General features: G+C 39.1%; 1 annotated feature.

The window, feature by feature from the left end:
* Positions 2099 to 3298: an enhancer, noted in NCBI's record as "CDK7 strongly-dependent group 2 enhancer chr5:31119151-31120350 (GRCh37/hg19 assembly coordinates)". NCBI's record gives its function as "activates an origin of replication core promoter dependent on BRD2, BRD4, P300/CBP, MED14 and CDK7 cofactors, with strong dependence on CDK7, by STARR-seq in HCT116 cells {active_cell/tissue: HCT116}" and the evidence as "EXISTENCE:reporter gene assay evidence [ECO:0000049][PMID:35650434]".

Here is a 15082-nt window from a genome sequence, read left to right on the forward strand (position 1 = left end):
ATTCATTCATTTGCTCTACAACAGCAGATGTAGTTGCAACAGATACCACTATATGGCCCAAAGAGGCTAAAATTTTTGCTAACTGGCCCTTCACAGAAAAAGTTAGCAGACAACTGCCACAGCACATTATCACCAATAGTTATTACCATGGTCTGTGTAGGTGCTCAAAAATATTTAATGAAAATCTGAATTATATAAAGGTTTATTAAGGTTAAAACAGCCTGGAATTTTTCCCTCTGCCCTTCAGATCCATTCTTTACTCTTAGCTAGCTCTGAGCCCTGGAAGCTCACCCTGTATGGATGCAACAGCAACAGGGTCCTTTTCCCATAATTTCCTGTTGGATGTGGGTGCTCATCAAGGGGAATTCAAAGGGTGGAAGGTTTAAGGTGCTCCCACCCACAGGTGCCTTCCAGCCTAGCAGCTGTTGAGTTGGTTGTATCCCTCCATGCTCCTGTCTGTCAGTCCCCTTTGAAGTTCCAGCCACTTGTTATGGGTTATGGTCACTACTCCTTTTCCTGAGCCCCTCAGACCTAGCATAAAGTCTGGCAGATCTTGGTAGGGGGCTTCACGATTCTTTGTCAGTTTTCCTGCTCTCATATGCAAAGATGTTGTTTGGTAAGGTCTCCTGGGTTACCCCACTGGAGTGGGCATTTTTCTTCAGGGACCTTGACTGAGGCACAAAGTAAACTTCCAATGCCTGTACCCATGTAGATGTGGACTTAAATACTATGTATTTCAGTGACTAGCTGTGTAACTTTGAGAAAGTTCTTTTACTTCCCTAGCCTTCTCTGAAAGAGACAGATAATAATACCAACTGCAAGGAATAGTTGCAAGAATTGAGTGGTATGTTGATAAAGTGCTTAATACAATGTGGGACACTCAGGAAATTCTCAATAAATAGCATAAATGGCAACTACTACTGTTTTTCAGTTTAAACATCTATGACATTCCCACATTAAGAAAAAAAATTTCAAGAATTAAGTAAAGAATGCATCAGGAGGTTAATATTATCTTAATAACTTTATAGTCAATTCTAACATTTTTTCTTCAAGTATTTTGCTTCAAATGACTACATTAAAGCAGTGATTCTCAATATGCAACAATTCCCTCCCCTTCTCCCACCCAGGGGACATTGGCAATGTCTGGAGACACGTTATATTGTAATAATGGTGTGAGGATATGCTGCAAGCATCTAGAGGGGAGAAGTCAGGGATGCAACTAAACATCAAGCAATGCAGAGGATGGTCTCTCAAAACAAAAAATTTGCTAGTCCAAAATCATGAGAAACCCTAAATTAGTGGGATAATTTTAAGCCAACTTTTTGGGGAGCCCAGAAGAGTGAGGAATCCAGTCAACTTCATATTCCATACACTTTCCAATTTGCAATAGCTCTCCATGATAAGTATGGAGTTGAGAATAAAGTTTTTCTAATATTTCAATGCTAACAGGAAATATTAGTCATAAATAGGCAAATCCCTTAAAAAACTGTTTAAAAAACTTTTAAAGCAATAAAATTTCCACTGCTCATTAAACATGAAAGTGAGCCAGTGGTATTAACATCCATTTTAATAATTTTAAAATGGAAGAAAGCAATTATGCACTTTGTTCATCATCACAAAATTTAATCATAATACAAGTGGCCTCAGTTATTCATTTTCTCTTCTTCCCCATCTTCTCTCCCATTCTATGGCCTCTTCCTCTAAATCCTACAACACAGCAATGCATTTCTGCTGAGCTACATCACTTTCCACTTTGCCCCGCAATTTCACACGCTACACATGTATGGAGTCTTTCAGCAATCAGTCAAAGAAGCAGAGTATTTTTGTTCATTTGGTTTTGGTTTTATGGGGTGGGGATGTTGTTTTGGGTGTTGTTTAGTTTTTTGTTTGTTTGTTTACAAAGTGGACAGGCACTCTTCCCACTTGTTGTGTTGCGTCTTATCAGTGTTGGTACCAAGGCAGTGCCTGATAGATTCCCTAGTCAATCAGTGCTTTCAGTTTTCACTTAAAGCCATCCTTCCCAGCAAGATTTCTTACACACACTTCACAGAACTCAGAATCCACAGGAAGGAGGCCACGGGACTGGCCTGGAAGACAACTCAGCTACAAACGAGACTCCATGCCGAACTCAAAATCTCTGCTTCCTTCTGAAGATGAAGTCTTTGTTATTGGGTCAAGCTTGACTCCTCCTCTGCCTTTCTCAGAAGGCATCCTCTCCCAGGAAATTTCCTCCATCCTTTGTCCTTCATGCAATGAGGAGGCAGTGCCCTGTAGGGTTTCAGAGATGACCAGACATGTCTGTATCCAAAGGGTCTGGCTCAGGCAAGACCCTAGCTCATGGTATTTATCATATTCTGACCTCTCACATAATCAAAGCCATAAGCTTCAACCCTCCCTGACCCCCAAAATTGCTTAGTAGACCAATATTTTGCTTGCTGAACTCTTTACTAACTCTGATTTTTATCAAATAATCATTATCCAAATATTTGATAAAAAATTAATACCATCATAGAAGTCTGCCAAGTGAACATGTTCAATGGACACCATGGAATATACCGAGAAAGAGGCATTCGGATGATTCCTCAGGTAAGTGCCTTTATTATGCAACTTTAGGGAAAATACAATAAAACCCTATTATGAACTGCCTTCCTATACCATTAATCCAATTATACTCTGGGACAAAATTGTATTTCTGTGTTAAAATGAAATATACTTTATTTCTCCTTCTATTATATAGAAGTATATTGGGTTATTTTCCTTGGTAAAAGTGACTTAATGGTGATGCATCACACTTGACTACCTTAAAATTAACTCCCGATATATTGCATTATTTACAAAAATATGAAAGAAGAGCAAAACACCTATTTTTTCTATTAAAAACTCCTATTTTCTCTTACTGTGTTAATGTGCAGAACAACGGCAGTTCATGTATTATAATTACATCTTTTTTTCTCTCGATCCAGCAGAGGATATACTAGATTTTAGAAGCTCAAACAGAAAGACCTTTGAATAGGTTTAGAACTGCAAAGATGAAATGCAGAAGTGAATGTACAAAGACGTAATACTCAGGGTCATTCTTGGGCTTTGTCTCCAGAGAGTCACTTCCAATGGCACCAGAAAGGTTTGTGCAAGGCAATCGTCTGCCCACAACAGCAGGGTGACTGTCTATGATTGCGGAATCTTGGAGATGGTGTGCTGCCAAGGTCAAAGAACACAGAAAGAGGACCATACAATGGCTTCTGTTCTGAGAAAGAATGTTCTGCCACATATATAAATGTGGATTGAAGAGAAAAGTGGCATTTTAGCAATTTTATGAAAATGGAAGTTATCCAGTAAACTAAGCCTGTGTTCTTCTCAGGGTCAGCTAATGTGACTCCAAAAAACATTCTGCTCCGTTAAACATGCATGAAGAAGTTATATTTTGTGTAAATGTACTTCCCAGTGTGATTAGCGTTCTTTCAAGGAGATACCTTATTGAATAGGTTTTTCAACTTCACATGTTCACATTCTTGAAAGAATAATGGATCCTTCATTAAAGACATCACAGCGTTTTGGGTGTCATGCTTGATGACACACAATGAATTGGTCATTAAGGAAATTCAGCCACGCAGAAAGGACAGGAGAACAACTGGTTGACTCTTCTAATGACTCAGACAATGCTGGCAAAGCTGCTTTCACTTATGGCTGGTTTATAGTTGCAGAACAAGCATTAATTTTTCAGACATAACAAATAGGTGAAAGATTCAACCACCTCAGGAGCAAGTGTCCATCTTCTGGAAAAACAGTTTGCATACTGGTGTTTTTCATCGAAACAGATCTATTCACACGTGACTGCTGCCCCATTCTATTGCTGTTGGCTGAAAAATTTTGTGCATCTTAGACATAAGTCAAAGTAATCATACCTAGGTACCTAATTATTTTCTCATTCGATCATATGGATTCAAGAGAGCACACTTTTAAGATTATGGTATTTTGAAATAGAAATGCATGTTGCACTATCCTCATTGCTCCGTGTGGCTTTGTTTACCTTAGGCTGAATCCATTTTGATTTCTTACTAGCAATGACAAGACACTTTGCTTGTCCGTTGTGTCTGGTTAACCAGGCCTTCCCATGAAAGTCTCAGGAATGAATAGCTCTGTATTCCTTCATCTGAGATTGTCTAAATATTTGAACTCAAGATTTTTCTGTGTCTGGCTGAAAGGTGAATGAGAATTAGAGAGGAAACCCAGTGTCTGACAGCAACTTCACTATCCCCTTCTCCTCCCCATTGTCATAGGAAAAAAGGTTCTGGTGAAGGTTATTCTTTCAAGGATAAGCTGACAATTTGGTAAGCCTGTGTAAAAGCACTCTGGCAACTTCTTGATTAATTTTGAGATTTTTTTTTTTCACCTTGTGCTGCTTCAAGGCTAAATGAGCCTTCAAGGAGGTCATAGGAATGTAAGATCATAAGAAATGCCATAATAGGTCAAATTAATGAGCCAGTTAGTGTGATACGCTGTCTCTGAGAGTGGCAACAAGGTACATTTTGTGCATGTTGTCAGCTTCCAAATATTTGAGGCTATAAGCAGGAGTGTTTCTCAGATCAAGCATCTATTTCAAATGTCCGTGACTTCCTTTATTAATGTGTAATACATCTTTATCCATAAATTCACTTAAACCCATCTGATGATGTTTTAAATCATGCACTGCTTTTTGTATCATGAGCTTTATAAATGTTTTCTCTAATTTTGCCTAAACTGCTTGTGTCACATTTTCAAGGGTTTCCCGATTGGAGCTGATAGACCAGTGACTGTGGTTGTATGCATTTCATTTGATTGAGGTGTCTGTACTGAGTTGACTAAATGGTAAAGCCTTTCAAACAGGTGGTGGTAAACTGTCCACCTGCAACTCCTAGCACTTTCGGCCAGCTTTTCTTTTATTGCTCCAGGGTCAATACGTTCTATCGTATACTCAAATATTTCCATTAGTTAGTTTTTTGGTTGGCTTGGGCTGCTATAAGAAAATGCCATAGGCTGGGTGTCTTAAACAACAGATATTTATTTCATTCTCACAGTTCTGGAAGCTGGGAAGACTGAGAGCAAGGTGCCAGCCCATTTGGTTCCTGGTGAAGGCCCTTTTCCTTGTCTGCCTTCTCACTGTGCCCCCACATGGCAGAGAGAGAGACAAAGTGTGCTCTGGTTTTTCTTCCTCTTGCTATAAAAGTACTAATCCCATGATGTGGGCCCCATTCTCATGACCTCATCTAAATCTAATTACCTCTCTAAGGCCCCATCTCTACATACCATCACATTAGGGGTTAGAGCCTCGACAGATGAATTTGAGAAAGACACAAACATTCAGTCCATAACAGTTAGCCAATTTCCTCTTTTTACGAGAAAGAACTAATCGGGATTCTTCTCACTAAATAAATAAATAAACAGTGTTTCTCAGGACTTCACAACAGAAGCTGGACTATCAAGGATGTATGATGTGCACCCGACATGGGTCCATGAGCAGCTGGGCTGTGGAGATGTATTTTTAATTGACAACAAAAAAAAAATAGCAATTCAAAAACCCATTGAAAAGGCAAGAATAAGGAACAAAAATGGGTATTGTGTTCTTTTATCCACAACAATAAAATGACTTTGGTACAAGATCTGTCTGGCATGTTGCAGAATAAATGAAAACCCAAATGAAACAAAATGACATTTTATCAGATTGAAAGGAAGTGAGCATTTAATTTTTAAAAATGAGAGAAGAGGAATCCATGCCTGGAGTTGCAGAAGTTCAAATGAGGGCCTCTCCGCCCCTGCTGAACTGCCTCCTATCTTGCCCCACTGCTATCATAATTTTTGGTTGGTTAAGAATAGGATGGCTCAATCTTAGAACCAGAAGGGATGTGAGAGATTTTTTTCTTGTATTATAGGTTAAGAAACTGGACTCCAGAGAGTTTAAATGGCTTTCTTGCAGCCACACAGCTGGTTTTTGTCTTGGGCAAAGATAGGTCTTAGATGCAAGTATGTCGGCCACCAAGCAGGCATGGACAGCAGGGCTGCCCTGATTCCATGCATATAGATGGGATCTGTTCTTTCCTGAGACCACTTAAGATTACTAACAGGATGTCTTCTTGCAATAAGACTTTCTTTTCTTCTAAACTCACACATCACATGCAGTTATTTAGTGAGTAATTAAAAAGAAAAAGGCAAAACAAATACACCCAAATCCTACCTTCATTTCTCAATCTATTGAGTAATCCAATAAATTATTTACTTTTGGATTACTTGGGTTAAACAGCATTCCCTGCATACTAGATGAGATGTCTTTGATCTTGAGCTTGTTTTAAATAAATAGTTCTATCAAAATAGAATGGCCTTAACTTTCAGCCCTGGGAATAAACAAATAGTCTCAATCAATGATGCTGAGACAACCATTTAATATTTTTCAAGAGGCTAAGAAAAGAAATATTTTCATGCCTACAACATTAAGTCAGAAATAGCCTTTGGCACATATTTCGCTTGGTCTTTTCAAAGGTTGTGGGAAAATATGGGGAAAAATATATAAGCAAAATTAGCAAGGCTACCATGACAACAGCAAGTACGCAGAGGCAGAGCTAAAACTCTGGAACTCTCAGAGGGAAGGAAAGGAGGGTCCTTAGGATAGTTTATCAGGAAAGAGGCATCAAGCATAAAGAGAATTATTGCTAAGTGGACAGATACTGGAACAGATATTTATTGTAATGGATTTCCTGTGGTGTGAAATTTTATCAAAAGGGCACTGTTACTGGGGAGAGACCATTTGTTTGAAATTATAAGTGGTTTTTGTTGTAGTGAACTCAGTGTAGAAATAGATGTCCGACACATTCATTTCTGTGGGCTGTCATTTGTTTTTGTTTCATGCACACAAGAAGCTGCATGTTTGAGAGTGAGGATAAAAATATGTAGAGAAGTTTTTTTAGTTGAGTTCTCCAAAGTGGCTGACTCAGGACTCAAGAGTAGACACCGGGCCTCCCAGTGCTCTTTTGATCACAGCATGATTTTTTTTTCCATTTAACTTGTAAGCCTTAAATATTTACATTCTTTCATTGGATCAAGAAATATGTATAGGAAATTACTGTGTGCTGGTCTTCCATAGCTGTTGGGAATACAGTGCCAAACAGGAAAGAGAGCAACATTACCTCTGTGTGAGGGGAGGAAGAAAAGACACAATAAACAAGTGAACCAATATATAAACAAGAAAATTTCTAGACAAGAGGACCAACAAATGCAAAGGCCTTGAGTCAGTAATGAGTATGACATGTGTCAAGGACAAGAGGAGGCAAGTCTACCCAGAGTGCAGTCAGCCAAAGAAAGTGTGGTGTGTGATGAGGTTTGAGACGTAAGTAGGGATCAGACCATTGGAGGTGTGCAGTGGAAAATTAGCATTCATCCCCAACCAGATGTTTTTGAGACATCTATTAGAATTATCTAAAAACATAACTAATCTCTCATCTGGATTGTTGCAGTAAACGTAGATTCTTTATTCACAAGGAATGTTGAATCTAAAACTGATAAGACTTGAGGATAGTGTGGATGTGGGAATATTAAGGAAAGGAAGCAATAACAACTCCAATGTTTTTAGCCCGAGGCAGTGAGTGGATGGTGCCATTTACTGGCATGGGCAAGCCAGGGAGAACAAATACAAGGGGAAACTGCCTGATGGACATATTAACTTTGGAGTGTCCATTAGGCCTCCAAACAATGCGGTCAAGTGGACAGTTACATACATAGTCCACAGCTCGGGAGAAAGACCAAAGATGGAGCTATAAATTTGCATGTCATCAGCCTAGAGTTAACACAAAGTAATGGGCCCAAATGAAATCACTTAATGTGCAGAGAAGAGATAAGATCCATAGCCTAGCGCTGGGCACCTTTGATATAGAAGAGAACAGGGAGTGGAGGAATCAACAAGAAGCCTGAGAAGATGTCACAAAAAGATAATAAGAATGAGGTTAGTATATATCAAAGAAACCATGAGAGAAAACCATTTCCAAAAAGATAATCGGCTAGGTCAGATACTGCTGAGGGACTCAATAACAAGGAAACAGAGAAGTGTATGTTGGACAATTAGAAGGTCATTGGTGATATCTAAGACTAGTTTTCCTGCAGTGACAGGGATGACTACAGTTTTGAGGGAATTGAATCATGAATGAGAAATGTGAAAGGAAAAGCTGTTGAGTGTAGGTAAACATCTGTTCAACAAGGAAATAGAAAAAAAACTGAACACCCACTCAAGTAAAGGCATACTTAGTTTTATTGTTCTTGACTTTATTGTGCTTTGTAGATAATGCATTTTTTACAAATTGAAGGTTTGTGGCAACCTCGCATTGAGCAAGTCTATTGGTGCCATTTTTCCCGTACCACGTGTTCACTTCATATCTCTGTCACAATATTAATTTTCATAATATTTCAAACTTTTAAAATAAATGTTATTATTATATGTTATGGCAATCTGTAATCAGTGATCTTTTATGTTACTATTGTAATTGTTCCGGGGAGCCACGAACCATGCCCGTATAAGATGGTGAACTTAATTTTTAAATGTGTATGTTTTGACTACTCTACCAACTGACCATTCCCCTATCTCTCTCCCTCTTCTCAGGCCCCTACTATTCTCTGAGACACAATAATAATGAAATTAGATCAATTAATTATCCCAATGGTCTCTAAGTGTTCAAGTGAAAGAAAAAGTTACATCTCTCACTTTTTTTTGTTGTTGTTGTTGTTTTTGAGACAGAGTCTCACTATGTTGCCCAGGCTGGAGTGCAGTGTCACAATCTTGGCTCCCTGCAGCCTCCGCCTCCCAGGTTCAAGCAATTCTTGTGCCTCAGCCTCCCTGAGTAGCTGGGATTACAAATGCCTGCCACCATGCTCAGCTAATTTTTTTTTTTTTTTTTTTTTTTTTTAGTAGAGATGGCATTTCACCATGTTGGTCACGCTGGTCTTGAACTCTTGACCTCAAGTGATCTGCCTGCCTCAGCCTCCCAAAGTGCTGGGATTACGGGCATGAGCCACTGTGCCTGGCCTCCCACTTTAAATCAAAAACTAAAAATAATTAAGCTTAGTGAGGAAGGTATGCCAAAAGATGAGACAGGCCCAAAGTTGGGCCTTTTGCATCAAGCAGCCAAGTTGTGAATGCAAAGGAAAAGTTCTTAAGGGAAATTGAAAGTGCTACTCCAGTGAACACTTGAATGATAAGAAAGTAAAACAGACTTATTGCTGATATGGAGAAAGTATGAGGGGTATGGAGAGAAGACGAAACCAGCCACAACATTCCCTTAAGCCAAAGACTAATCCAGAGCAAAGCCCTAACTCTCTTTAATTCTATGAAGGCTGAGATAGGTAAGGAAGCTGCAGAAGAAAAGTTAGAAGCTATGAGATTAACCATGAGGCTTAAGGAAAGAAGCCATTTACATAACATAAAAGTGCAAGGTGAAGCCACAGGTGCTAATATAAAACCTGCAGCAAGTTATCCAGAAGAGCTAGCTAAGATAACTGATGAAGGTGGCTACACTAAACAACAGATGTTCAATGGAGATAAAACAGCCTGCTATTGGAAGAAGATGCTGCCTAGGACTTTCATGGCTAGAGAGGAGAAGTCAATTCATGGCTTCAATGCTTCAAAGGATAAGCTAACTCTCTTATTAGAGGCTAATGCGGCTGGTGACTTTAACTGGAAGCCAATGCTCACAGACCATTTCAAAAATCCTAGAGCTCCTAAGAATTATGCTAAATCTACTCTGCCTGAGCTCTATCAGAGGAACAACAAAGCCTGGATGACAGCACATCAGTTTACAGCATGGTTTACTGAATATTTTAAGTTCACTGTTGAGATCTACTGCTCAGAAAAAAGATTCTTTTAAAACATTACTGCTCATTTTCAATGCACCTGATCACCCAAGAGCTCTGATGGAGATGTACAAGGAGGTTAATGATGTTTCATACCTGCGAACACAACATCCATTCTGCAGGCCATGGATCAAGGAGTACTTTTGACGTCCAAGTCTTGTTATTTAAGAAATGCATTTCATAAGGCTGTAGCTGCCATAGACAGTGATTCCTTTGATGGACCAGGGCGAAGGAAATTGAAAATCCACTGAAAAGGATTCACCATTCTAAATGTCATTAAGAAAATTTGTGATACATGAAAGGAAGTCAAAATATCAACATTAGCCGGAGTTTGGAAGAAGTTTATTTCAGCCCTCATGGATGACTTTTAGGAGTTCAACACTCCAATGGAGGAAGTAACTGCAGATGGGGTGGAGATAGCAAGATAATTGGAATTTGAAGTGGAGCCCAAAGATGTGACTGAATTGCTGCAATCTCATGATAAATCTTGAGCAAATAAGGAGTTGCTTCTTATGGACGAGCTAAGAAAGTAAGTTCTTGAGATGGAAACTACTTCCGGTTAAAGATACTGTGAACATTGTTGAAATGATAACAAAGATTTAGAATATTACATAAATTTAGTTGCTAAAACAGTGGCAGAGTTAGAGAGGATTGACTCCAAGTTTGAAATAAGCTCTACTGTGGGTAAGATACTGTCAAACAGCATCACATGCTACAGAGAGAAATCTTTTGTGAAAGAGTCAATCAGGAGACCGAGGTGGGCGGATCACTTGAGGTTAGGAGTTCAAGACCAGCCTGGACAACATGGTAAAACTCCATCTCTACTAACAATATGAAAATTAAGGTCAGGCACAGCGGCTCATGCCTGTAATTCCAGCTCTTTGGGAGGCCAAGGCAGGCAGATCACCTGAGGTCGGGAATTTGAGACCAGCCTGGACAACATGGTGAAACCTCATCTCTACTAAAAGTACAAAAATTACCTAGGCGTGGTGGTGCATGCCTGTATTCCCAGCTACTCGGAAGGCTGAGACAGGAGAATCGCTTGAATCTGGGAGGCAGAGGTTGCAGTGAGCCAAGATCGCGCCACTGCACTCCAGCCTGGGCAACAGAGTTAGATTCCGTCTCAAAAAAAATTTTTTTTAATTTTTTAAGTCTATCAATGTAGCAAACTTCATTATTGTCTTATTTTAAGAAATTTCCACAGCCACTTCAGTCTTCGGCAATCACCAACCTTACCATTCAGCAACCACCAACAATGAGGCAAACCCTGCACCAGCAAGAAGATTATGACTTACTGAAAGTTCAGATGATTGTTAGCATTTTTTTAGCAATAACATATTTTTTAATTAAGGTATGTATACTTTTAGACATAATATCATGCACTTAATATAGACTACAGCATAGCGTAAACATAACTTTTATATTTTTGTGGGAAACCACAAAATTTATGTGACTTGCTTCATTGAAATATTTGCCTTATTGTGGTGGTCTGGAACCAAACCCACAATATCTCCAAGGTATGCTTACAATATAGAAGAAAAAGATAAAATTTGAAAGCATTATGTTGGCCAAAAAAGATTCAGGGTGTGTAATCATGACCAAATTTATTTTTACCTCCAACTCTTCTTTTAAACTCAACTCAACGATTACTTTCTTCTTTTTGTCCTGAATGAAAACTTGGGCAATCCCATGACTTTTCTAACTACTCTTAGTAATTGCAAACTCCTACAGTCACCTTAAGTCACAAAACATGATCTCAGTTTGATAATTATAATTACAATCTCCAGGGCCATTTTGAGTCAGAGCTTCCAATTTCATTCAAAGGAAAGTCTTATATATAAATTATAGTTTCATAAAAAATTTCTATATGGAGTTCCAACTTTAAATCCAATAATTCCCATAGAAGTAACAACATATAAATTCCCTGGGTGAGATAAGTCTGCATGCAGTCTGGGGTGGGAAGGAGGAAGAAGGAGGAAGCAGAGACCAAGAGAAATGAAGAGTATGGGTAAATGCTTACAGGACTGGCACTTTGTAAGCCGGCTTTCTGCTCTTGGTTTGGTGGATGTTTAAAGTTGTCACTTGTGAAGCTTTCTGCACAGGTTTCCTACAATCTTTGACCACTTGTGGCCTCTCGCTTGCCTTTCCCCAGCCAGATGAATGTCCTCTATTCTTGCAGGTCCCTAATCTCTCCTCAGGTCATCTCCAGCTTCTTCTCTGCTGAAGCCTTTTCAATCTTCTAAAGATGATCCTATTAGGTCAAATCAACAAGGACCTCCAGAACAGCTTTTTCTCACTTACAGTGCTCAACAAATCCCCAAGAAACACTCATAAGTTTTTTTTGCCCAAACAGATCCTGGGAATAGAGTTAGACCTTAGGCAGCCTCAATATGTCTTCACTTTGGTTTTCTCGACTATCCCATCTCTGCCTTTTAAGTATTTCAATATGGGGTCGCACACCTGAATTAAGGCATCATCACGCTCTCAAGTCGTGTCTTGAAGGTCTTGTCACACACCCGAGATGAGAGACAGCAGAGAAGGGAAGAAGACTCATCTCACGGGGGCTGCTTGTGTTCAAAGAAATCCTCTCCAAATATTGCTTTTAATCTGAGCCTTTTCTTCTCGAAGTGCATGTAGAATTCCAGGGTCATGTAACAACTTTTCTAAAGCTCCTTTGGAAATTCTGCATATTCCTACTCTGGAATGCAGCATCTATCTTATTTAGATACTCGGCTGAAATTGCACATTTAAATCCTGTTGTGGATATTTTTAAATACAGAATAATCCAGAGAAAGATCATAGGTTGACTTGAATGATCAAGAGGGAAAATTTGATGATCCAAGAAAGAAAAGTAGTAACTACAGAAGGAAAGTGCCAGGAGTAAGAAAGAGGCAACAGATTCAAGGGAGCTGGAGGACAGATATGATTATGTGTATCTCAAGTATACCAGTATTCAAAGATTCTAATGAAACTTTTTTTTTTTTTGAGACATAGTCTCACTCTGTCACCCAGGCTGGAGTGCAGAGTGCAATGGCGCGATCTCGGCTCACTGCAAGCTCCGCCTCCCAGGTTCAAGCGATTCTCCTGCCTCAGCCTCCTGAGTAGCTGGGTTTACAGGCACGTGCCACCATACCTGGCTAATTTCTGTATTTTTAGTGGAGATGGGGTTTCACCATGTTGGCCAGGCTTGTCTCGAACTCCTGACCTCAAGTGATCTGCCCGCCTGGGTCTCCCAAAGTGCTGGGATTACAGGCATGAGCCACCAAGCCTGGCCTGGCCTGAAAAATTTTTTTAATTTAAATATGTAATTTCAGGCCCGGCGTGGTGGCTCATGCCTGTAATCCCAGCACTTTGGGAGGCCGAGGCAGGTGGATCACCTGAGGTCAGGAGTTCGAGACCAGCCTGACTAACATGGTGAAACCCCGTCTCTACTAAAAATTCAAAATTAGCTGGGCGTGGTGGTGCATGCCTGTAATCCCAGCTACTTGGAAGGCTGAGGCAGGAGAATCACTTGAACCTGGGAGGCAGAGGTTGCAGTGAGCTGAGATCGCACCATTGCACTCCAGCCTGGGCAACAAGAGCAAAACTCCATCTCAAAATTAATAAATAAATATGCAATTTCATCTCATTCTCTTGTGAAGCAAACAAAAATGCTTGCATCTGTATAAACTAGTTACCAGTAATACTTACTTATACTATCTTTATGTCAACACATTATAACAGAATATTTCCATATATTTTAAAGATATTATAAACATTTAATGTTTTAAAATAATCTCACTATGCATCCTTTTATTGATAAATATTTCAAAGCTTCACAAAGTCTACCAGGTTGTAGCAGAAAAGCAAAATTGGTACAGACCCATAATTCTTTTTTTGAAATTCCAAAATCTAAAAAGCTCTGAAAAACTTCAAGATTTTTCATAAGCTTGATGACAAAATCTGATCTGAACTGAGGAGAGCATGTTTTCTATTTATCCTGCTTACTGCAAACGTTCACATTTTCTGGAAAAATATTAATGTGTTTGATAGTGGGGTTTTACCTAGACTTTGTTGATAGCATTGATTGCGTCATATGCAATATGTGCATAATATTATCTTTCTAAAGTTTGGGGGAGGGAGAATTTGAGCTTTTAAGAGTATTTCAGATCCCAAGAGTTTTGAATGAGAGATTGTAAACCTTTTTTATAAACTAAAATGTAGTATTTTGTGATTTTATGCATTTAAGGAAGCCCAAATTTACAGAATTTAATTATAATGCAGAAACTCTGCCTTAGAGTAATAGTAGAAAGACCTTTTTGTAACCTTGCCTTACCTATATCACCAGTAGCGTGTACAGACTCCAAGGAGCAAATTAAAGCAAGATAGAGTGTACTGTCTCCAAAGAAAGCTGGGCTTTTCTGCTGGCTTCCTTATTTCATCTGGCCTACAACATTAAGCATGTTAATAACCAGAACACTCCTGCAAGTCGTTTGACCAAGCCGGCCTTCAGGTCCCTGGAGTTCACGCAGACCTGCACAGTAAATCTATTGTAGTAATTTGAAATATGTATTACAAATACAAAGGAATCTACATTTAATCCATCTCTAAAAATCATATTTAAAAATCATTGGAAAGGAGGATAAAGTTTATGGGGCATAATCCCATCCGTGTGGAATTTTGGCTGACCATCAAAATACCTTTTGATACCATAAATCTGTTTTAATCTTTAAGAAGTTCTGCACTGAACCAAAAAGGTTTCCAAGTGCGATGGTGCTGAAATGTGTGCAGTCGACCACGGTGTTGAGTCCCGCATCACTCACTGGGTTATCACCCAAGGAAAATAGTACTTTCGACCTCTTGATAATCATGACCATGCAAATGTCTCATTTCTTCTGTGTTCAATCTGACTCACAATTAAATTAGACAGTAAACATAGACATGTGTAAATACCAGATAATATTTCTCAACCTGAGTTTGGGGAACAGAAACCTTTTCAAACCTTTTAATGACAAATAAGCCACTAAGGAAATGCGAAATGTATATGTTGCAACGCAACGCTGCTCTGTTGATGCCTCTGGACACTCGACTGTGGTGGAAATAGGATACTCTAAAAAGACAATGTTGAATAACAAAAATGTAATTTTGCTTAGAAATCGATAAAATGTCTAAATGTTATTAGAACTTATGGATAAGCATCAAGTGTACAGTGGCTGGCCTGACTTCCAAAATATCAGTT

Source organism: Homo sapiens, chromosome 5, assembly GCF_000001405.40.
Source record: "Homo sapiens chromosome 5, GRCh38.p14 Primary Assembly".
NCBI classification, from domain to species: Eukaryota; Metazoa; Chordata; class Mammalia; order Primates; family Hominidae; genus Homo; species Homo sapiens.